This window comes from Homo sapiens, chromosome 9 (assembly GCF_000001405.40).
Source record: "Homo sapiens chromosome 9, GRCh38.p14 Primary Assembly".
In the NCBI taxonomy this organism is placed as follows: Eukaryota; Metazoa; Chordata; class Mammalia; order Primates; family Hominidae; genus Homo; species Homo sapiens.
In genome coordinates, this window is record NC_000009.12 from 42,660,463 (window position 1) to 42,686,804 (window position 26,342).

Sequence of the window (26,342 nt, forward strand, 5' to 3'; positions counted from 1 at the left end):
GTGATTCTGTCTGGTCGTCAGCTTTTTTTGTTGGTAATTTTAAAATTACCATTTCAATCTCACTGCTTGATTTATTGGTCTGCTTGGGGTATCTAATTCTTCCTGATTTAAGCTAGGAGGGTTGTATTTTTCCAGGAATTTATCCAACTCTTCTAGGTTTTCTAGTTTATGTGCCAAAAGGTGTTCATAGTACCCTTGAATAACCTTTAATATTTCAGTGGTGTCAGTTGTAATATCCCCTGTTTCATTTCTTAGTGAGGTTATTTGGATTTTCTCTCTTCTTTTCTTGGTTAATCTTGCTAATGGTCTATGAATTTTATTTATCTTTTCAAATAACCAACTTTTTGTTTTATTTATGTTTTGTATTTGTTATTGTTGTTGTATCAATTTCATTTAGTTCTGCTCTGATCTTGGTTATTTCCTTTGTTTGCTGGGATTGGGTTTGGCTTGTTCCTGTTTCTCTAGTTCCCTGAGATGTGAACTTAGATTGTCTGTTTGTGCTCTTTCAGGCTTTTTGACGTCGGTGTTTAGCGCTACAAACTTTCCTCTTAGCACTGCCTTTGCTGTATCCCATAGGTGGTGATAGGTTGTGTCATCCAGTTTGAAGAAATTTTTTATATTTCCATCGTGATTTCGTTTTTCACCCAATGCTCATTCAGGAGCAGGTTATTTAAATTCCATGTATTTGCATGGTTTTGAAGATTCCTTTTGGAGTCGATTTTCAGTTTTATTCCACTGTGATCTGAGACAGTGCGTGATAGAATTTCAGTTTTCTTCAATTTACTGAGACTCGTTTTATGGCCTATCATATGGTCTATCTTGGAGAAAATTCCATGTGCTGTGGAATAGAATGTGTATTCTGTGGTTGTTGGATGAAATGTTCTGTATGTATCTGTTAAGTCCGTTTGTTCCAAAGTGTAGTTTAAATCCAGTGTTTCTTTGTTGACTTTCTCTCTTGATGACCTGTCTAGTGCTGTCAGTGGAGTATTGAAGTCCCCCACTATTATCGTGTTGCTGTCTATCTCATTTCTTATGTCTACTAGTAATTGTTTTATAAATTTGTGAGCTCCGGTGTTAGGTTCATGTATGTTTGGGATTGTCATATTTTTCTGTTGGATGAGACCTTTACCATTATATACTGTCTGTCCTTGTCTACTTTAGCTACTGTTCCTTTAAAGTTTGTTTTGTCTCATATGAGAATAGCTACCGCTGCTCGCTTTTGGTGTCCATTTGCATGAAATGCCTTTTTCTATTCCATAATCATTCTGATGCAAAAACAATTGTAACTCTCTTTCTAGTGCCTACATTTCCTATGAGCCCCAGTTGTGCATAGCAGAAAATACGGAAGCATCTAGGAAAACCTAGGGGCAGGAGGGGCTGGGAGGGAATAAGGCCTTTCAAGGTGTTTAAAGAAGCGACAAAGATGAAGAAGCAGGCATAGTTTCTGAAGACATTTTTTGGTCTTTGTTGTTGTTTGCATTTACCTAATTAGTTCTCAACTGCAGAGGCACATTAGAATATTCTGGGGAATTTTTAAAATACGACTGCATGGGCCACCTGTCATATACACTGATGTAATTGGCCTGAGTTGGGGCCTAGGTGTTTCTTTCTCTCTCTCTCTCTCTCTCTGTCTCTCTCTTTCTGTCTCTCTGTCTCTCTCTCTGTCTCTCTCTGTCTCTCTCTCTCTCTCTCTCTCTATATATATATATATATATATATCTATCCTGTTTTGTATATATCTAAGTATCTGTAGATATATACAGAACAGGGGATACCAGTGTGTACCTACCATTGAAATCAATTGTTTTCAAGTCTTTTTAGGTCTTATTCTCAGATGGTCTTGGGTAAATGGTGGCTGATTGCCTTCAGCATCTAGAATAAAACACTCTATGGCCCAGAGGAATTCCAGCTGGCATCTATGATCTTTTTCTCTTGAGGTAGAGCAGCTGAAGGGAGGATTATCTTCATGTTGAGTCTGATGGCAGGGTAATTTGCTTCATGTGGAGGCAAAGGGATATTGTTAGTTTTCCAGCTACATTGGGAGTTCTAAGTAGCCACATCTCAGGCTAATAGGAAGTCCAGATTGGTTCAAACCTTTTCTTAATTATCCTGTGTAGGAATGGACCACGCAGTATCCCTCAAGGAAGAATCAAGAGTGTTTCCACAGAGAATATACATATTTCATCTCTTTCTCTGCTGAATGGATCCCCACTGAAAGCCATGAATTAATTACTCTCATTAGACCCTGTAGAATCCCAGTTTATGGCAGTGACATTAAAAACATCTAGTTCATGACTTGGATTAGGCAGCCTGTAAAATGACTTCCAGTGATCCCTGCTTTCTGGTATGTATGCCCTTGTATAATACCCTCCTCATGAGTGTAGGCAGAGGTAACATCACTTTTGAAACTAGGTTATATATATTAAAACAAACAAACAAACCTGTGGCTTCCATTTTGGGTACTTTATCTCACACTCTCTGATTTCTTGCTCCGTGGGAAACAGACTGTAATGTTGTAAGCAATGCTATGGAGAGGTCCATGTGGTAAGGAAGTGATAGGTCCTGATAAGAGCCAGTGAGGATCTAAGGTGGATCCCTTTCTGAGTTGAATATTGAGATAGATGACTACAGCCCTGGTCTACACCTTGATTGCAGCCTCATGAGGAATTCTGACCAAAAACACTGTGCTGAACCACGTCCAGGCTCCTGAGCCACATAAACTATGAGAAAACAAATATTTGTTTCAAGCCATTAAGTTTTAATTTGTTACACAGCAATAGATAACTAACACCTTTGTTACAGAGCAATAGATAACTAACACATGGAAGGATTCATCAAGAGAAGCGTTTTTCATAAGTGAAATGTTATTTTCATCTCACATTTCAATTATTAGAAAATAAAAGAAAATAAATTTGGATAGGCTCTCATAAATTCAATGATAAGAACTTGGAAAATGCAACCACATGATAACCAGGAAGTAAAAGGAAAACATAAGAGGCATCTTCCCAGACGAGAGTAAATATCTGGTTCCCTGAGAAGTGTAGTTTGAGAATGGAGAAATCAGATGTTACTGGAAAGAGGCTAGGACTGTATTATTTCTTGCTTCCTGTCAAGTCTTTTCAACTCAAGAGAAAGTAAATTTTCTTGACAAACCATTCAAAATTAAAGGATAGGTGGGAGTACATGTGTCCCTGAAGGAACAAGTGACCTTCATTGAAAGCAGCAGCTTGGTTGAATAAATACTGTACAGAAGTGGAATAAAGAGTAGCTGACAACAATGCTGAAATAGTTACACATGAAGTTTTAATGAGCTATTTCATATTAAGATACATATTGAGAATTCAAACCAGAGAGACCAGTTAATTGATATTTTCCCAACTCTGTTTTAGGGTGATCATAGAAATGATACCCACAAGTTAGTCACAGTGGCCTGCATCCATTTTGATATATCAGTGACGTATTCTGATTGGCCAGTAATCACCCATACTGACTGTTAAATATTTTTGTTATCACTCCTATGCATGGTGAATTTGAGTTCTGGTTTTCTTTAGCCTTGTGTTATTTATGTGTAAAGTTGGATCATGGAAGGCAAAGAATCTCTCGTGTGTCATTCACGCTCAAGTAAATGGCAGTGGGATAGGGATGTAAATGAAACTGCATGATAAGCCCTGCAAGTCATTCTGATGTATCGATTTTGCTTACTGGTGTTTAATTGCAGACATTGTCATATTAACGCAACCACTAATACATTATGGAGTAAGATGCAAAAATCACATGAGTCTTAACAGAAAAGAAATGTGATTTCTGTGGTGGGCCCCTTCTGCATTATTCTCTAACTTCTTGTTTTATACCTCTACTGTTAGAGAAATTTCAGTAGAAAATCGTGAGGGGCACTGTTTTAGAGTTTTTGTTGTTATAGCAATGCTTTTACTACAGCTAGGTCCCCTTGTACATCTTTATGTTCTTTGGCAGTCTAGAGAATCAGAAGAGCAAACTCTATGAGATAGAAACTCTAAGAATTTACCTCCAGCATCCCTTCTCTTCTGTCATTAAATTGAATTCATAGCCAACTCAAAGATTGACAATTTATACTATGGTTTTTATATTTTTATATTATAATTTATATTATGGCTTATGTCAAAATGTTTTGTTCACTGCTTTGAAAGTATCTTTTGTTTACTTTTGTTATCATTTCATATTTTAATTTTTTCCTTTCTAATTGTTAGAAACTCATGTATTTAATTTTATCTTTCAAAGAACATTTTTAAAAGGCTTACTCTGCTTATATGTATATTTTGCACAAAGCTTTCCATTCATAAACAAAAGGTGAATAGGAATCAGAATTGAAAACTACATAATTTCTTTTCTCCTTTTGAGTCAAATCATCACAGTATAGATTAGTCATTGTGTATGAAGTGCATTGCCAAGACATAGTCACATTTGTGTACAAATGTAAAGGCTATATCTCAATAGAAATAAAAAAACAAAAAAATGCAGAAGACCATTAGCTAATAATACTAATAATCTAGTATAGAAAGCATGTGCCAACTGATCTAGACTCTTGTGACAGTTGTATATCTACTCAGCTGCTTGACCTTAGGTGTATCAAAATCTCGATTTCCTAGACTACAAATGAGTAAGAGGGATGGAGGCCCCTTACAGTTTTAAGATTCTGGAATTCTAAGTGGGTGTAACTGGAGCAAATTTTATTTTCTAAAATTTGCATAATAAATTTTAAAATAGGAGAAAAACTAATAATTAAAGTACATATTTCTGGAAGTCTTTTTTAGGTGACTTATACTACCAGGAATGGATTTACCACTAAATATTGGTTTTGCCTAATTCAGCATTGCTATGTAATTTGATGGAAGTATAACTCCATAGACAAAGAGATTTGGTCCTAACATAGCTTGTATTTTATATGTATATACACTATTTCTATTTAAATTTCTGTGTAGTCATGTTTTACCCTTTTAAAATGAAGATTAGTTTTATTATGTATTTTCTTTTGTCTATAAACATTCAGTGAATTCACACTGAAAACTGATTATGAACAGATAGTCTGCTAGGCACTAAGGAAACACATATGAAAAACTAAGTCCTCCTCTGCCCTCAATATGCTCACAAGACTACAGTTACTGAAGCCTGACCTCAAAACCTAGCTAACAAAGTCCTTGAATCAGGTGATAGTTCAGAATACCATTCATGCTCTCTCCCAAGAGTATATCTGAGGAAGGGCAGTTCTTTCTAGTTTTCTACATCCTGGTCGTATAGGTCAACCACAGGAAAATTAAATGAATCTATTGGTTTGTTGACCTAGCCTTTTCATATAAGCCTCATCTATAAATGTATTACCAAATACTATTTATGTAAAGGGACTTGAATGACAAATATTTTGAAATTAAAACCACAATGGTTAGCATAGCTTTTAAATTAGATAAATGTTGACCTCCCATTGGTGAACATATAAAGTGCTACCAAGATCTGCCAATGAAAGACTTTGGAAGTGGAAATTCATCTTTTTAATAATCCTGTTATCTGTAAGCTGACCTCAAGCCTTCATGACATTCAAGGCCCCTTATTCCTAACTGTATCTTCTGTTTTGGGCATTGTGCTCTTGCCATCTAACAGGAAAACAACTTTCAGTGCTGCCACCTTTTGAACAGCAGAGATTTCTAGAGATTAGAAAATTACTAAATTTAAATATACATAGTTTTAAAATATGATACTTTTCTACCTATGCATTCAAATATATTCTAACTTTTAAATCCTGTAAATACTTATATTTGTAATGATTTTACTTATATGATCCAATTAATTGGCAAGAATATGTGGTGAAAGATTTTTTACATGTTTGTATTGTTCTGTGTGAGACATCTACTGTAAGCATTGCTTCAGGTTCTCATTTTTGTCTGCCTTCCAGGATTTGCTGGCCCAAGTGCTGTGTGCTAGACTTAGTCTCGGTCACAGAGGGGAGGGAAACTTGCAGTTGAGCCAGACAGTTTTGTTATTCCTTTAAAATTAAAAGCATATGAAACAGATACAGCTTATTAAGGTTTTTTTAATAAATAAAATAAACTTAAATAACAAAATAATAAAGTTCAAAAACAACTTAAAATATAGTTTAATGCTGTAACCATAGGAAAAAAGCATGATTATTTGTGGGAAGAACATTATTAAAAGCCATATTCCCAAATACGAATTATACAAAGATAGATTATGTTACTTGAAAAAAACTTAAAGATTTCTCAATTTTACTTTGAGAAATTATAAAATGTTATTTTGTGGCAAGTAAGATGAAGTACAGTATTATCATCAATCACTGTTGCTATCTTATATACAAGATTTTTGGAAACATCCTTTTAGCAATACCCTTTCCACTTGAGCAGCATTAGAAATTTTGTTCTTGTTAATAGGTATAAGCATGTTCTAATCCTGTACTTTTGTTAAATTATCTATTTTATTGACTTTCGTAATAGATTTTTTTGAGAATATTCTTTTTTTCTGATTAGAGTTTAAGTAGATTATAATTTTTCACTAGAAAGCATTTAAAATGCTGCTCATTTTCTATAGTTAGTGTGGCTTGATTATCTGACAAATCCTGCCAGCAGCCTGTAGGTCTGATATACCTTATATAACATCATCTGCATTATTATTATTATAGCAGCCATTTTATAAGCAGATAGGAATATTTAAATAATCATTATCAGATAATCAAATCTAACATACTCTTAAGGGTAAATTAATTTAAGAAAAAAATTACTATTACTAACATCATGATTGTACAACCAGTTTTACAATTTTGTACAACCTTTAGTTACTAAATCTGATTTTTGTGTATACTTTTCAAATCTTTCTTTAATGCAGTGTCTTAAAACAAACATAAATGCACAAGTCAAGCTTGATCAGTTTTTCAGTAGTTTTCCAGCCTTTCTTGATTACTAAAAAATAAAAGGAAAGAAAATTTTGAGAAGAAAGAAAACAGTCCACTTAAAGAAATCTCCCTACTGGAACTGGTTCTTTATATACCATATGCAATTAAGTTATTGCCATAGGAAGAAAGTGGGCTGTTTTTTGTTCTTTCTTCGTTTTTTTTCCTCTTACAGGAATCCCCTTTTGATTTAAGGCAACAAACATTTCCCCTCCATTGTGTGTCCATTTAGCTGCTGCATATGTGTTGTAATGGTTTTCCAGAATTAGTTCTTTGAAGTTACAATCTTCATTGCATTCTTTCTGTTCAAACAAACAAACAAACACACAAACATTATCCAAATGATTTTTAGAGAGGCTCAATTAAACGAAGAGTAAGCAGCAATATTTGGTAGAATTGAAACATACACAACTTTTTTTAACCCTCAGATTGAGCAGGCCTAATGTGGTTTATTAGCTAGACTTATGTAGTATATTTGCATAAAAAGGTATCTTAAATTTGAAATAAAGACACCACATAATGCACAGCTAGTGTGAAATATGTGTAGCTTTTTGGAAGTTCATGTCAACTATTCTTTAAAATTAGGACCTATTTCCCCCTAAGTAACAGGCCTCAAATTACTCTTCCCACATCACTCATTCTTTAACCACTGGAAATTTGGTAGAATTAGCAGAACCTCTGCCTCCCTCAGGTGAGAGACTTGTTTCACAACTTTTCTTTATTTACTTGTACACTGTCTTCAGTGGTAATGGAAGATAAAAGGTTAATTTGTTTGTTCATCCATGCAACCATTTGTTCATTCAATTAAACCTGTATCATTATATAATTAGCCTGTTCCAGGCATTATGCTGAGCTGTGGGAATACAAAGGAAAGCCAATTATATTTTATTACAGTGGGATGAACTGTTACATATTTTGCATTGTAGTGAAGTGGGAACAATGTGAATAATTACAGTTCAAAGCCCATGATTGTGAGATTGATGTTGATGAATGAACTAAACATTTCAAGATTTTTTCCCAAGAATTTTCATGTCAGCAATGTGCAAATTGGGTGAACTTTAGCAAAAAGAGCTTTAATACTGGCAAATGGAAATTTTGGATTTTAAATATCTAAAATGCACATGGAATGTTAGAGCTGGAAGGCTCCTTAGAGGTCAGCTAATTCAACTCATTTTACAGATGAAGAAACCAGAATCCAAAGAACAAGCCATTTGTCCAAAGTCACACAGAAAACATTTTTTCTTAACATTTGAGTATAAAGTGTTTTAATAAAATCATTAAATTATACAGTTGGAGATAGATTAAGTCCATGTTTACTTTTCAGAATGGTGAGATATTTCAACAAAAATGAGTTTTAAAAATTAAGCCTAAGCTATCAATTATCAATACCTTTGCATAGAGTTTTCCTTCCTCGTTCATTGCAAGATAGAATTCACTTTCCACCCCTTTGATTGCCACAATCCGAACTGCCACTGTCCTGATTTCCATGATATCTGCAAGGAATCACAGAAAGACATGTCAAGTATTCGTTCAGCTTTGCAAATGATCCACGAATGGCCATTTGTTCTTATTTCTGTTTTAATCGGAAGTCTTTAAAATTTTTAATGTGATTATTTACTCAGCCCAAGACCCCCGACCCACAAGAGATACACACAAACACCAGAATAGTCATTATATAAGGCAAGTGCAAACTGACGGTTTTTTATTTTGTGGAAAATGTGCCTGTATCGAATAAATAGTTACATATTTGAGTTCAGCTTTTTATTCTCTAGAATTAAATTTCTAATTTACTATAATAATAATAGCTAATGTTTATTGAACGCATACCACATGCCAAGGATTATTGCATTGCTCTTATGTATTAACTCATTTACTCATAACCACAGATTGAGGCAGGTAGTCTTGTTATCCCAGTTTTACAGATCAGGAAACTGAAGCACAGAGAAACTAAGAAATTTGCCCAAATTCTTATACCTGATAAGTAGCAGAACTGGAATTTGAACCCACACATTCTGGCACTTAATCATTATATAATTACTTTTCTATTTGGATAAACTTTATCTTAAAAATTATGGCCAACAGAATAGCTCTTGAATATACTGAAAGTGAAGAAAATTCTAATTAAAGCAATTGTAAATGATGGTAAACAGAGCCTACTGCCTTAAAATAAAAGGTTGTTTTAAACTGATAGTATTTTGATACATGAAAAGACCATTTAAAACAAAATTATGAATCCTGTTTATATAATACTTCATAACTTTATACCTTTGTAATTAACTTTTAAATCTTTGTTGAAATAGTATTTACAAAACGTGTTTACACAAGAATGGTAACTTACCATTTTCCTTTATTATATATATCTTCCTTAAATCCTGTGTTTTAATGACACACTAAATAAAGTAAAATCTCAAGAAATTTATTAAAATGATGTAAGAATTAAAATTTTAGTGTACTTTTATGCAATTTGGTATTAATTACATTTTCTACATGAAGGTACAGTGCTGAGACATCCTTTTACCTATGTCTAACACAGTGCAAAGAAAAGTCAAAGTGTCAATTTTCTGTGTGATTGGGCCTTCAAAAGCTATTTTCTAAAATATTGACTTAAAGAAAAAGCTAATTGTTTTGCCCCATACCTTTACTTCATTCTCTTATTTATTTTTTTGACTTCATTTTTGCTACCTGGATAATAAAATTTCTATTCATGTCATTGGGATTTAATGTAGCCCAGCTAATATTTCTCATTTGCCTCACATATATGTTGCATATAGAAGCCCTTTTCCCAATATCCTATACTTAACACTAGTCAGAGCTCGTCCAGTTGAGAGTTTCACAGCTACTCCTCCAGAAATTGGGTTTGATTAAGAAAATGTAAATGAATGGATATTAATCTTTTTATATATTTATTAAGCATTATCACAATGCATACAACCCTACTGTAGTTTTAGGACACAAATTAAGAAAAACAGCCCTGGTTTCTGATACCAGAAGTTAAAACCTAATAGAAACAGCAAACACGTCCATATATTTTGAAGAATTTTGAAGAACACAGGCCTGAATAGGCCAGAGAAAATTTTACTAATTGCTTACAAGCACATGAAGGATTATGACGTTGATGCATTCATGTAACGTTCAACAGATCTTCACTGAGAGCCAATTCTATGCTAGGCTCAATTCACAGACAAGCCTTGCCCTTTTAGGGCACTCTATTTGGTAACTACAACTTCATTGCATTAAAGGAAGCACAAAGGGAAATAACATGCAGAAGAATACTATTAGGTTAAATTTGTACTAATACAATGAAAAATACTGAAGAAATTCATTGATTCAGCATATTTGCAATACCTCCAAAATGGAATGAATGTATCAGTTAGGTTGGTGCAAAAGTAATTGTAGTTTTGCCATTACTTTTATGACAAAAACTGTAATTACCTTTGCACCAAACTAATATTTAAAGGACATATGGAATAGTTGGTTTCTAAAGATCTTAGCATTGTAAAATATCATTAAAAAGTCAATATTTTCTTTTCCTTCAAGTCTCTTTACTCCTGCCATTCCTCCCTGTATTTAATATATTTTCTTTTAGATAAAAAGAGAATGCTGATGCACAAGCTTAGAGTGTCTTTCTTGATCAGTTATTAGGGACTAGAATCTGTAATGTTTGCTGGCTTTTCTTTTACAGAACAATTGTAAAACATAAATGTTGACTGATAGAGTTAGTATTAATTATGATAGGCAGACGTCTTCCCTTTTTGGTCCTGTCATGACAATAAGTTCATATTGTCCCACTCCCAAAACATTTTCCTCTATCCCCTGCCTGTCTATTGCCCACTATTTCTTTACTGCACTTTACAAGAGGTGATGGCTGGATGTGGTAGCTCACATCTGTAATCCCAGCACTTTGGGAGGCCGAGTCAGGCAGATCACTTGAGGTCAGGAGTTCAATACTAACCTGGCCAACATGGCGAAAAATACAAAAAATTATCCGGGTGTGGTAGCGGGTGCCTGTAATCCCAGCTACTCAGGAGGCTGAGGCAGGAGAATTGCTTGAACCCAGAAGGCGGAGGCTGCAGTGAGCCAAAACGGTGCCACTGCCCTCTAGCCTAGGCAACAGAGTGAGACTCTGTCTCACCAAAAAAAAAAAAAAAAGAAAAATTAGTTGGGCATGGCGGTGAATTCCTATAATTCTAGCTACTTGAGAGGCTGAGGCAGGAGAATCACTTGAACTTGGGAGGCAGAGGTTGCAATGAGCCGAGGTCACACCACAGCACTCCAGTCTGGGTGGAGTGAGGCTCTGTCTCAAAATAATAAATAAATAAATAAATAAATAAATAAATAAATAAATAAATAAATAAATGAAAATAAGGTGGTGAACATTTTTAATCATATCTCTCCACATATTAGGGTTAAGGATACCACAAATTCTCTGTAAAGATTCTACGTTTAGCTGAGATGAGAATAGACTTATATTCTTAATTGCTTGACATATTTAAAAAATACCATTCACACTGGGAAATCAACATATCTAAAAGACAATTGCTTGGGGAGAGCATTAAGCAGTGTTGGCAGAATCAGTACCTTATCAACCCTATTTTCTAGTCTATTTTGTTCCATGTCCTACGACCCTCTTTTATTCAAGAAAAGCTCAAGAATAAGGAAATTAACATTATCACTCATTTGTTCAGTTGCAGTGTGGGGAGTAATGTTCCTTTCAATATGCACAAATATTTATAGAAGTGTTAAATATGGGCCGGGCGCAGTGGCTCACGCCTGTAATCCCAGCACTTTGGGAGGCCAACGCGGGCGGATCACCTGAGGTCAGGAGTTCAAGACCAGCCTGGCAAATATGGTGAAACCCCATCTCTACTAAAAATACAAAAATTAGCCAGGCATGATGCTGGGTGTCTGTAATCCCAGTTACTCGGGAGGCTGAGTCAGGAGAATCATCTGAACCTGGGAGGCGGAAGTTGCAGTGAGCTGAGATTTCACCATTGCACTCCAGCCTGGACAACAAGAGCTAGACTCTATCTCACCAAAAAAAAAAAAAAAAAAAAAAAGAAAAAAGTATTAACTATGAAATCCTACCCCTCCAAATCAGAAGCCACGAAGTTGCTCAGAAAACATAATAGAAAAATATGTAATATGCAGATATTGTTAGTTACCAATATGAGTTAATTATACTTGGTCTTTTTGTCTACAGTGTATCTGTTGCCTCACATAAAACAAATAGAAGAGGCTGTCTTTCTTTGTGGATTTCCATTTGTGCTTAAGAGAAGTTTGTTCACATAAGTAGCACTCAGTAAATTTATTCCCAGAGATTTAAAGCATATACATAGATGCATCAAATTGTTGGCATAATGTCCATGATAACATAATGGCAGAGTTCAAAAATATAAATAAAAGAGAGAGAGAGAATCAGCTCATGCAATAGAACATGAAAAACCAGGCAATATGTCAAGCACATTGACCATTTAGCCTTGTCAGCAATATTGTCAACAATAGCATAAATTTATTATTTAGGATGTCACCCTTACACACTAGAGACTATGCCCTAAATAGCTTCCCTATTTTTTATCATCTGGTTCAATAATTCATGAATTTATCTAAACTTTTTGTCGGTTTATTATTTAAACCTGTGTCACACTTGGAATGAAAAGTGGGGAACTTTGATCTAAATTGCAATTACTTTTTTAAAAAATTCTGTAAGACCTTTCAGAATTTTAGGTGTCCCTCTAATCTTGTATTTCAGAAATTGATACTAATTCTTTTTTTAATTACCAATAGCTTTGTGATTTTAAAGTGCTTTAACTTTCCTGTTTGAAAAATTACTTTTTAGTGTCTCACTACACAGAATCCGTGTCCACCAATCTCAGCATCATTAATATTTCTTTTTCCTGAAACCGTTAAAGCTTTATGTTTAAAGTTTTGAAGGGGTATATATTAATATGGCTGTGCTAGCGTGATAACTAAATATTATTTTCAAGTTGCAAAAAAAAGTGGAGGCAGCGGTTTGATAGTTAGCCAATCAGAACATTTAATCTTGTCCTTGATCAAATATACCCTCTTCGGCATGTTAAAACTAAGAACTAGTATCAACAAAGAAAAAAACATTTACATTTAAATACATTTTATGATTTTCTGTCAAGCCTGGATTGTTGAGTGGGAAATCTTAACCATTATATATTTATATTATGTTTAAGGCTATAGATTCCATTCATTTTACATCACTAAAATACACCGACATATACATATATGCAAAAAATATATCAATATATCCAACATATACAAAAAAAACACTGAAAACACAACAATAAGGAAAAAAAACCTAGTTAAAAAGTGGGCAAAATCTGGACACCTCACTACAGATACACAAAGGGCAAATAAGCAGATGAAAATATGCTCAATAACATAGATCATCAAGGAATTGCAACATGGATGCAGCCGGAGGCCATTATCCTAAGCAAATTAACACAGGAACAGAAAACTAAATACTGCATGTTTTCACTTATAACTGGGAGCTAAACACTGGGTACTTAGGGACATAAAGATGGCAACAACTGACACTGGGGACTACTGGCGGGGAGTAGATGAGGGAAGGGTTGAAAAACCATTAGGTACTATGCGCAGTACCTGAGTGATGGGAGCAATCATACCTCAAACCTCAGTATCACACAATATACCCAGGTAACAGACCTGCACATGAACCCCCTGAATCTAAAATAAAAGTTGAAATTATTTAAAAAGGAATTGAAAATTAAAACAACAATGAGATACCTCTATACAACTATTAGCATGACTAAACTCCAAAAAACTGACAGTGCTGTATGCTGGCAAGGATGCGAAGCAACCAAAACTCTTTCATTACTAGTGGGAATGCAAAATGGTGCAGTCACATGGGAAGACAGTTTGGCAGTTTCTTAAAAACTAAACATGCTATATAATCCAGCAGTCATGCCCCCAGGTATTTGCCCAATTGAATTGAAAACTTACGTCCATACAAAATCCTGAACATGACTATTTATAGAAGCTTTATTCGTATCATCTAAAACCAGATGCAACCAACATATCCAATAGGTAAATGGATGAACAAACTATGGTACACGTATACATTGGAATATTATTTAGCAATGAAAGGTATTGAGCTGTGAAGCCACAAAAAGACAAGGGGAACCTTAAGTACATATTGCTAAGTGAAAGAAACCAGTCTGAAAAAGCCACATACTGTATGATTCCAGCCATATGACATTCTGGCAAAGACAAAACTTTAGAGGCAGTAAGATCAGTGGTTGCAAGGGCCTTGAGGAGAGCAGAAGAAGGATGAAAAGCTCAATCACAGGGGATTTTTAAATCAGTGAAACTATTCTGCGTAATACTGTAATAGTGGATACACGATATACATTTGTCAGAACTCATAGAACTATACAAAGCAAAGCGGGGACGTTAGTATAAATTGATGGTATAAATAAATATTGGCTCATCTATTGTAATAAATGTGCCACATTAATGCAAGATATTTATAATGGAGGAACTGTGGGGGGAAATGGAGATTGTTTATAGGAACTCTATTATCTGCTCAATTTTTTTTTTTTTTTTTTTTTTTTTGATACAGAGTCTCGCTCTGTCGCCCAGGCTGGAGTGCAGTGGTGCGATCTCGGCTCACTACAAGCTCCACCTCCTGGGTTCACGCCATTCTCCTGCCTCACCCTCCCCAGCAGCTGGGACTACAGGCGCCCGCCGCCACGCCCAGCTAATGTTTTTGTATTTTTAGTAGAGACAGGGTTTCACCGTGTTAGCCAGGATGGCCTCGATCTCCTGACCTTGTGATCCACCCGCCTCAGCCTCCCAAAGTGCTGGGATTACAGGCGTGAGCCACCGCGCCCGGCCCTATCTTTTTATTTTAATAAAATAACTACCTAATTTATGACAGGATAGTAGCATCTGGTGTTCTCTGAGGTTCTTTGATTTGTGGGCAGGTGTCTGTTGCTGAATTTTAAAAGTTCTCAGCCATCCCTTTTTTCTTTTCACATTCTGGGTGAATGCAGTTTTCATAGAAGGTGCTAGATTTGTGCAACCCTAAAGATAGGTGACTCCTCTGACTCACAGATCCCTGGGAGCCTCTCCCGAACAGAGTTTCTTTATCCACACACCCCACTTCCCATACCCACTCTCCCACATAGGTGTTCTGGCCACCAGTAATCTCTGAAGGATGGAAGATGAAGAGACATGACTTTTACCTGAGTCTCTACTCCTCCCAAGAGAATGAATGTTCCTGGAAACTTCACCAACAGAAAATCAGGGGATATCAATATATGTAAGCACTCATTACTCATGTAATGGAGGCCTTGGCAAAATGTGACACTTAAATTTCTGCTCAGGGAGAGTAGAAAATAGGCACAGAGAATAGAGAGACTGGTAAAGAATGAAGGCTCAAAGGTGATTGAGTTGTGTTAAAGGCACGTCTTGATCAGGCTTTGCTTTATTTTTCTCTTGTGGAATATGAAAGTGGGTGTTACAATTAAATATATTTCTTGATTTCCTAAAATGTTATAGGCTGTTTCCAATTTTTGTTATTTTTGGAGTTTCTTAAATCGAAATTTGATTCAGGATAATTAAAAAATATAATGTTAATGTTAAGATGGAAAGTAGGTCAAAAGGCAATCACGTTAAGCAAGAGGATAATTGGAGATAGGACCTTGAACACGAAAGTAATCTTAAATTCTTGACTATTATGATACAGTTTGCATAAAGAACTGAGATTTCTTCAGAAAACTATAGTGAAATGGGACACTACAAATCAAATATAAATTTAAAAATGAACGCATTTATTCAATACATATCCATAGATTATTCTGGATTAAATGTACACATTTTAAGAATAAAGTTTTAAATTTGAAAATGAAAGACTGTTTCCCATCTAAACAGACCATTGGCTTCAAGATACTTACAACTGTGTTAAATCATCTTCCATTGGTTATAGTTGGTTATGGCATCGGCATCCCCAAATCTGGCTGACCCATACTACGTTTTTCCTAAATCTCTTTTTTCTTCTGTATCTTGCTAAGTCTGCTGGTTCATCCTCCCAATTTCCTGTATTTAAAACCCCAGTGCCACGTTTGACCTTGTCCTTTCTCTTCTGCTGTTCACGTCTTCTGTCTCTCACATTCATTCCAACCTACACATCCCAGTGGCCTATTCCTATTTAAGCACCCAACCCCCTCTCTCCTGAATGAATGCAGAAAGCTTTCTCATCTCTGGACTCATAACACAACAGTTATTATTACACACGACTGTCAGACGTGTGGAGTTCTTGAACCATAGTTCTCTGGTGTCATCATTCATTTTAAAAATTTTGGTTGGCTCCCTATTACCTAGAAAATAAACTTTAGTGTCCTTTGCTCAACATGTGAGGCCCTCCACAATCTAATTTCACACGCTCCAAAACCTTATTTCTACCTACTCTCTTCCAAGGACCCTGAACCCCACATTCCAGGCAAATCCAGTTATGGAACACTTGCAAAGGCCATCAGAAGTCACTGCAAAACCAATCCGGTCTGACTCCTATGTTGTTTAGTGCTCTATCCCCTTTGTCTGAAATGGCTTTCCCTCCACCTCTATTTTTGTTTACCGGCACCTTCCACAGCTTTCAGCATTCAGTTTGTCATGAAGGCAGCTGTTACAGACTGGACTAGAAAACTGTGAGCTGAATTGGTGGTTTCCAAATCAGTATCACACTTGATTCCCACCTCCAGAAATTTTGATAGAGGGGGCCTGGAGTAGAGCCAATGAGTCTTACACACACAGACACACACACACACACACACACACACACACCCCAAAAGAAACCCACACCCCAAAACAAACACACACTTACCCTAATGACTATCTAGGTGCCAGCCCTAGCCTAGGCCAGGCTGGTGGAACATGCTGGATTAAAAACAACAGGACACTGAGAAAGTATTTGCTACACAGACATATGGGATTTGACCATGTGTTATTTACAGATAACCTAACTCACTGGAGTAAAACCTATCTTAAATTGGCATATGGTATAGGATATGTTGTAGCATTTTATTAGTGAACATTTGTAAGGTTTTATTTGTGAAAACTGATAAGACTGTATTTGTGACCATCACAAGGAAAACTGATAAAACTGTATTTGTGACCATCTCAAGGAAGGCCTGTCCTATGCCAGGCTCACCTGCCAAGCTGGCTGCAGTCCCTTCCTCTCTTGACCTCACGTTGCCCCTAAAGGCGTCTCTGTTATTATATTCATGACTTTCCATTCTCTAATACTGTGTACTGATCATTTCAACACATGCCTTATTCTCTGAATAGACTGAAGGATTCATTAAGTATCTGAAAAGCAAATGCTGATGAACTTGCCTAAAATAAAAGGCATGAACCATGCAAGTTTCTAACATAGATTGTAGCAGCCACCCCAGATGATTGCAATCGCCTCCCCATTGATCTCCCAGCTGACTCATTCTATGTATTTGTAACTCAGCAACCAGAGTGAGCCTTTAAAAATTATCAGAGAGCGCCACTCCTCTTAGTAAAGCACTACCCCACCCCAGTCACGTAGCTTTCTGATTCACAGGAGTAAAAGCCAAAGTCCTTATAATGGCCTAAAAATCGTACATAATCTGTTCCTTTTCAGATTTCATTCACTACCATCTTCCCCCTTCTCTCTCTGTTCCAGTTACAACAGCTGGCTGCCCCCCTCAAACACAACTAGCACGTTCCTGCCCCAGGGCCTTTGCACCTGCTTTTTCCTCTTAGTGCAACAAGCTTGCTCCAGATATCTGAAAGGCTGACTATCTTGCCACCTTCAGATGTGTGTTCTAATGTCTCTTTATCAATGAGAGCTTCTTTGTCCACCCTGGGCATCTTCTTGCCCTTCCCTGCTTTATTCTTCCCCATGGCAGTTACTCACATTGGACACTAAACACTTGTTTCCTTAGCTAGGCATTCTTCTCCTACCCTCACAACAGTAGGAATGTCCTAAGGTTCTGAGAAGACTCCTGTGCTAGGTTTCCAGACTCCTGTCCTCTCACATTTGGTGCTCATGCACCTCTTGGTCATTAGTGCACTCCAGAGGTTAGGACCTAGAGTATGTGGCTGTCCTTCAGAGGAGGGAAAGAGATTGCTTGGGAGCAGAGAAGGGAGCTTTGGCCTCGCAGTGCAGGACCCCTGTGCCCACAGGCCTCTGTGTGTTGACAGCAATGCTCTTGGTGTCCACCTGCACTGCCCTCTGGTGTTCAGTCAAAATCAAGCAAATAGTTACGAACTGCTATAGGGGATTGTTACCAGGTCCTGAGTCTGAGTGTTGGAAACACAAACCCAGAAGCAAACAAATCTGCCCAACACCCCTGACATGTGGGTTTCACAGAAAATACTGAGGTCAGAGTAGCGTGTTAAATGATACCACAGTGATGACACAATCATAAAAATCTACACTGTGGACTCTGTCCTAGTTTCTTTAACGAATTGCATGAAAAAAAAGATGGAAGGGGAAGAATAAGAATGAAGAATGCTTTAGAGACTCTGCAATCCATCGTAATATCCGTACAAGGATTCTGCTCTTTTAAAAAAAGAAAAATGGTGTGAAAAAATATGTAGGACTGGCCAGGCAGCGTGGCTCACACCTGTAATCCCAACACTTTGGGAGGCCGAGGTGGGTGGATCACTTGAGGTCAGGAGATCAATCCTGGCCGACAAGCCTGACCAACATGCCAATATGGTGAAACCCCGTCTCTACTAAAAATACAAAAAATTAACCAGGCATGGTGGTGGGCACCTGTAATCCCAGCTAATTGGGAAGCTGAGGCAAAAGAATCGCTTGAACCCAGGAGGCGGAGGTTGCAGTGAGCCGAGATCTTGCCACTGCATTCCAGCCTGGGTGACAGGGCGAGACTCTATCTCAAAAAAAAAAAAAAGTAAGACAATCAGGGAAATTTGAACAGCGACTGGATTTTGGGTAAAAGTAAGTAATTCTGGCTAATTTTTAGATGTATTATTTTAAAAAGGGGATCCTTACCCTTTGGAGGTGGATACCTCCAAATATTCATGGATGAAATGACAGGATGCCAGAAATGCTCTTCAATTAATCTATGTCAGGGAAGTGGGATCAGAGGAATCAGGACTGTCTAAAACTGAAGCTGGGTATTAGGTCAATGAGTTAATTATACTATTCATTCATTATGCTATTTATTTCCTTTTGTATATTCTTTAAATTTTTCATAATAGTAATAAAGATATGTTGAACATGGTAAAGATGGAAAATGTACAGAGATAGAAGAAATATTCTTATTTTTTATTTCATACAATTCTATAGTTTCACATTTTGTTTTACTGTATTTATGCATTAATTCTATAACTGTAAAACATGCTATTAATAATTAAACTGACCTTATGAAAATTCTTGGAGAGTGAAAACTTTGAAACTCATGTGCTAGGTACATCATTAAAATATATCATTCAGGCGACACCTGATGACTCACATCTATAACCCCAGTAATTTGGGAGATGAAGATAGGAGGCTCCCTTAAGCCCAGGAGTTTGAGACCAGCCCTGGCTATATAGCGAGAGCCTGTTTCTACAAAAAAAAAAAAAATTATTATTAATTAGCCAGGCATGGTGGCATGCACCTGTAGTTCCAGCTACTCAGGAGGCTAAGGTCAGAGGATAGCTTGAGCATGAAAGTTCAAGACTGTAGTGAGCCATGGTCATGCCACTGCACTCCAGCCTGGGAAACAGGGTAAAACCATGTCTCAATAAACAAACAAATAAATACATAAATACATAATAAAGTATTCCATTCAACATTTTTACCTTAGTAATGCTCAACGTTTGGTTTTTACTTATTTCCTTTTATGTTGTATTTTCTAGACCAAATTCACATATAGTATAAAGCAGAAGAAACTAAAGATTAAATTCATTGTTCGTAATTGTATTCAGTTTCCTGTTTTCATCATCGTTTGTTTACAAATTTTTTTTTTTTTCTTTTTTGAGACAGAGTCTCGCTCTGTCACCCAGGCTGGAGTGCAGTGGCTGGATAGCTCACTGAAAGCTCCGCCTCCCAGGTTCATGCCATTCTCCTGCCTCAGCCTCCGGAGTAGCTGGGACTACAGGCGCCCACCACCATGTCTGGCTAATGTTTTGTATTTTTAGTAGAGACGGGGTTTCACCATGTTAGCCAGGATGGTCTCAATCTCCTGATCTCGTGATCCGCCTGCCTCGGCCTCCCAAAGTGCTGGGATTACAGGTGTGAGCCACTGCCCCGGTCTGTTTAGGAATATTTTTAAAGAATTATTGCACTTCTGTTCGGATAGAAAAACAAAAATGCATTTTAAGAATATATATTTATATGTATGAAAATATAAAATTTTGAAAAGTTGAATATTTCGAGCCAGTTATGTAGATGTCCTTGTCCTTCTCTGAGCTGCTGACTCACGTTCCATGAAGCGGGATGGGTCTCACAGGGCCTGTCAGGATGCAGGCTGTGATGTGAAGGCCCCTCGACACTCACAGGATTGGACGGGTTTGTGAAGGAATTTGGAGTGAGCCTTAGTTAGTTCCTTACCATTTCCTTTGAGCAACATCAGTGCTTTTGACATTTTGCACTGCCGTATAAAACTAAGTGCATGCAGAGATGTATGTTTCTGAACAAATCACAAAATTGACAAGCAACTGCCATGCATTGTTTTTTGTATCATAGCTAACTGATAAAGTACAGACTGCAACATTTACTTATTCAAATACCTTTAAACATCTGGTATTTTTTTTTTTACCTGTACTTCCCAGGAATTTGATGTCAGATGCATTTTCTATTATTTCCATATCTATTGAAATGAACTCAAATAAAAAAAGGGGATGTTTCATTACACACTTATTAATGTGTAATTTAAGATTAATGTGTAATCTTGTAATTCCCATAATCCTCATGTGTCAAGGGCGGGACCAGATGGACATGATTGAATCATAGGGGTGGTTTTCTCCACGCTGTTCTCGTGATAGTGAGTTCTCACAAGATCTGATGGTTTTATAAGGGGCTTCTTCCTTCACTCAAAACTCATTGTTTCTGCTGCCACCCTGTGAAGAGGTGCCTTCGGCCATGATTGTAAGTTTCCTGAGGCATGCCCAGCCATGTCAAACTATGAGTCAATTAAACTTTTCTTTATAAATTACCCAGTCTTGAGTAGTTCTTCATAACAGCATGAAAACAGACTAATACAGTAAATTGGTACCACAGACATAGGGTGCTGTTATAAGGATACCCTAAAATGTGGAAGTGACTTTGGAACTGGGCAACAGGCAGAGGTTGGAATAGTTTGGAGAGTTCAGAAGAAGACAGTAAAGGCTGGGTGTGGTGGCTCATCCCTGTAATCCCAGGACTTTGGGAGACCGAGGCAGGTGGATGACCTGAGGTCAGGAGTTTGAGACCAGCCTGGCCAACATGGTGAAACCCCATCTCTACTAAAAATATAAAACTAGCTGGGCATCGTGGTGCATGCCTGTAATCCCAGCTACTTGGGAGGCTGAGGCAGGAGAATGGCTTGAACATGGGAGGTGGAGGTTGCAGTGAGCAGAGATTGTACCACTGCATTCCAGCTTGGGCAACAAGAGCGAAACTCCATCTCAAAAACAAAAAAAAAGAAGACAGAAGAATGTGGGGAAGTGTGGAACTTCCTAGAGACTTGGAGGGCTTGGAAGACAAGAAGATGTGGGAAAGTTTGGGACTTCCTAGAGACTTGAATGGCTTCTACCAAAATGCTGACAGTGACATGGAAAATGAAGTCCAGGCTGAGGTGGTCTCAGATGGAGATGGGGAACTTGTTGGGAACTCGGATAAAGGTGATTCTTTCTATGCTTTAGCAAAGAGACTGCAACACTTTGCCCCTGACCCGGAGAGCTGTGGAACTTTGAACTTGAGAGAGATGATTTAGGGTATCTCGTGGCAGAAATTTCTAAGCAGCAAAGTGTTCAAGAGGAAGCAGAGCATAAAAGTTTAGAAAACTTGCAGCCTGACAAGGCGATAGAAAAGAAAAACCCATTTTCTTGGGAGAAATTCAAGCCAGCTGCGGAAATTTGCAGAACAAGGAGTGGAATATTAATTGCCAAGACAATGAGGGAAATGTCTCCAGGGCATGTCAGAGACCTTCTTGGAAGCCCCTCCCATCATAGGCCTGGAAACCTAGGAGGGAAAAATGGTTTCATGGGCCCAGGACCCCCTGTTCTGTGCAGCTTTGAGACATGGTGCCCTGTCTCCCAGCTGCTTCAGCTCCAGCCACAGTTAAAAGGGGCCAAGGTACAGCTCAGGCCATTGCTTCAGAGGGTCCAAGCTCCAAGCCTTGGAGGCTTCCATGTGGTGTTGAGCCTGTGGGTTCACAGAAGTCAAGAATTGAGGTTTGGGAACCTTCACCTGGATTTCAGAAGATGTATGGAAATGCCTGGATACCCAGGCAGAAGTTTGCTGCAGGGGCAAAGCCCTCATGGAGAACCTCTGCTAGGACAGTGCAGAAGGGAAATGTGGGGTTGGAGCCCCCACACAGAGTCCTCACTGGGGTACTACCTAGTGGAACTGTGAGAAGAGGGTTACCGTCCTCCAGACCCCAGCATGGTAGCTCCACTGACAACTTTCATTGTGCCCCTGGAAAAGCCACAGACACTCAATGCCAGCCCATGAAAGCAGCCAGGAGGGAGGTTGTACCCTGCAAAGCCACAGGGGTGGAGCTGCCCATGGCCATGGGAGCCTATTTCTTGCATCAGTGTGACCTGGATGTGAGACCTGGAATCAAAGGAGAACATTTTGGAACTTTTAAGGTTTAATGACTGCCCTATTGTTTTTCAGACTTGCATAGGGCCTGTAGCCCCTTTGTTTTGGCCAATTTCTCCCATTTGGAATGGGTGTATTTACAGGCACAATGCCTGTGCCTCCATTGTATCTAGGAAGTAACTAACTTGCTTTTGATTTTACAGGCTCATAGGTGGAAGGGACTTGACTCAGATGAAACTCTGGACTTGGACATTTGGGTTAATGCTGTAATGAGCTAAGACTTTGGGGAAGTGTAGGAAAGGTATGATTGTTTTGAAATGTGAGGACATGAGACTTGGAGTGGGGCCAGGGACAGAGTGATATGATTTAGCTCTGTGTCCCCACCCAGATCGCATCTTGAATTGCAGTTTCCATAATCCCCAAGTGTAAAGGGTAGGATCGGGTGGACATAATTGAATCATGGGGTAGTTGTCCCCATGCTGTTCTCATGATGATGGGTGAGTTCTCATGAGATCTGATCATTTCATAAGGGGCTTCCCCTTTGCTCAAAACTCATTATTTCTGCTGCCACCCTGTGAAGAGGTGCCTTCTGCCATGATTGTAAGTTTCCTGAGGCTTCCCTAGCCATGTGGAACTGTGAATCAATTAAACCTCTTTTCTTTATAAATTACCCAGTCTTGGATATTTCTTCATAGCAGCATGAGAATGGACTAATACAACATGTGAGTGCATTTCCAGTTAATAAATAGGTAATATTTTCTGTGCTTTCTGCTATGGTAATGAATTGCATTACAACTTCACTAAAGAGAGAAATCACTCACAATTTGAGACCTAAACCAAGAGCTGAAGAAAGTGCAAAGAGACCTACAATAATTCCTATAAGTTATTTCCAATGGAAGGCCTCTGTGAATGTAGTACTGTAATACAAAAAACCTATGGAATAAAAAGAATGCATTCTCTGAGTAATGTTATGCAGTTTAACCCCTCTCTGCATATTTTTGTCACCTGTCATCTGTAATGTAGGGATAATACAATTAATGTTATTGTCATGATTACATGAGTGAGATGAGTGAGGAATTTTTTTTGTTTTTTGTTTGTTTTGAGACGGAGTCTGGCTCTGTCGCTAGGCTGGAGTCCTGTGGCGCGATCTTGGCTCACTGCAACCTCCAACTCCCCGGTTCAAGCGATTCTCCTGCCTCAGCCTTCTGAGTAGCTGGGACTATAGGCACAGACCACCACACTAGGCTAATTTTTGTATTTTTAATAGATACGGAGTTTCACCATGTTGTCCAGGATGGTCTCAATCTCCTGACCTCGTGTTCTGCCTGCCTCGGCCTACCAGAGTGCTGGGATTACAGGCATGAGCCACCGTGCCTGGCCAAGTGAGGCATTTTAAACAGTGCATGGTTCCAAGTAATGGCTCAGAAAAGTTAGCTATTAGAATTGTAATGGTTGTTAGTGATGTTTGCCATTTTCTTTAAGAATTTCACACTTGTATCAAAAAACAGTATTAAAAGAACTATACAATCATTTAATATATAAAAAGGATAATTCTTTGTAGTTTAAGCCATAAAAGTTGCATCCAAACATAGATTTAAATAACCTCTTGTCCCCACCTTTAATAGTCTTTCAAAATATCGCATGTGCTTTTTATATTGTGAAAAGAAATAAATAGTCATACTTACAGGATTAAAAGTTATTTTCATGTACTTTGGAATTTGTTCATATTAGTTACACTTCAAGTTAATATTACATGTAATATTAAATGTACTTAATATTAAAAGTGCATTCAAAATACTTGAATGAAAATAAATTTTCATAATCAAATAAATCCCAGCACTGATTCAAGAGATTTATACCACCACGCTCATACTAAGAAGACACTGAATCAAAGCAGAAGCACATGCCTTAATCGTTGATCAGTGAAGCCTTCAGTGAATTTCAAAAATAAAAGCAAAAACAGAATAATTACTACACTAATCATAGATGATTGGCAAAGGTAAACATAACAAATTTCTAGGAAGGAGCTGCTTCAAAGAGTGATCTTTATGTGGGAAAACTCCAGCCTGGTGCCTTTGGGATCACTGATTTCCCTTGCTGGGAGTACTTGTGGTGAAACTAATAAAATCACTGAGGTGCCACAAGAAAAATAACTTGGGAAGAAGCTGACCACCAAGTTACAGATTCATGGGAAAGACATCAGGAGGTCATTTCCCTCATTTCCTTGCCTTGAGATTAATACTCAAGTCATCAACGCTAAATAAATATTTCCTGAAAATAAAGTATTTCTAGGAAAAAAATCATAACTTTGAGAATCCTCATGTTTGTATAATTGAATCAAGGACAGATGTGACTAACTTCAGAAGTCTGTTGTTCTTCCTATATTCAGTCCAGCAAACTCTCAGCAAAGCCCCCAGTGTATGAAGAATATGAAAAAGGAGTTCTGCTAGTAGAATTTGGGACTGAGAGTCCAGAGTTCTGATCTTTTGGCCTGTGCCTTCTAATGCCCTTTCACCCCACTTCATCTAAGGCAACCCTAGAAATTGTCAAAGAAAAACAGCAGTGCTGGATACTTGCTAAAGGCAATGAGACCTATTTTACTCAGACTATTTCAGCAGGAGGGAGAGACTTCAGTATAAACTAAGCTCAACTCCAAGTAAGACAAAGGAGGCTGATGTTTTTAAAAATAGAACAAATGGGAAATAAAAAGAAACTATGGAAAAGTAAAAAGAGGGGAATTAAAAAAGGGACTGAGGACTACGTGAAAATGCAAATTATAAAAGGGGGTAAGAGTCTGGCGCGGTGGCTCACGCCTGTAGTCCCAGCACTTTGGGAGGCCGAGGCGGGCAGATCACGAGGTCAGGAGATCGAGACCATCCTGGCTAACACGGTGAAACCCCGTTTCTACTAAAAACACACAAAAAGTTGGCTGGACATGGTGGCGGGCTCCTGTACTCCCAGCTACTCAGGAGGCTGAGGCAGGAGAATGGCGTGAACCTGGGAGGGGGAGCTTGCAGTGAGCTGAGATCACGCCACTGCACTCCAGCCTTGGGGAGAGAGGGAGACTCCGTCTCAAAAAAAAAAAAAAAAGCGGGGGGTAAGTAGAGAATTACTGAAAATGATTTGACACCATCGGTTACGACAATATACATTATGTAGTTTGGCAGCATTGTATTTTCTTGAGCAAAGACTCAGCGCAGGGCCTGGGGTTAACTACTCCAAGTGGAAGCCAGGCTAATGTTAGGTCAAGTCTCTTAGCACAGTGTTTAGGCAAATCCTTTTTGCTTCAGGGAAGTTCACAGTCCCTCCTCTTGTTCAAGAGAAAGAATGAATTTCTTTCTCGTAGAATAAATATAGTTGTTGCACTCCAAAGTCCTCAAAAGAAAAAAGTTCAGCCATTGTTTATCATCATTGTGCAATTCAGGAAGAGTCAAGGTGGTAAATGCAACAATCGAGGAGGTTTGGTGTATTATCAATGGTGGCACAATTGTCTCATAAGAATAGAGATGCACTTGGTGGGTCATGCCTGTAATCCCAACACTTTGGGACGCTGAGGTGGGTGGATCACGAGGTCAAGAGATCGAGACCATCTTGGCCAACATGGTGAAACCTCATCTGTACTAAAAATACAAAAAT

General features: G+C 37.9%; 2 pseudogenes; both read right to left on the bottom strand.

The window, feature by feature from the left end:
- Positions 1–4,014: 4,014 nt before the first annotated feature.
- On the bottom strand, positions 4,015–8,424 carry FGF7P4 (fibroblast growth factor 7 pseudogene 4; annotated as a pseudogene).
- Positions 8,321–26,342, bottom strand: part of LOC124902164 (uncharacterized protein FLJ76381-like) — a 56,858-nt pseudogene continuing 38,836 nt past the window's right edge.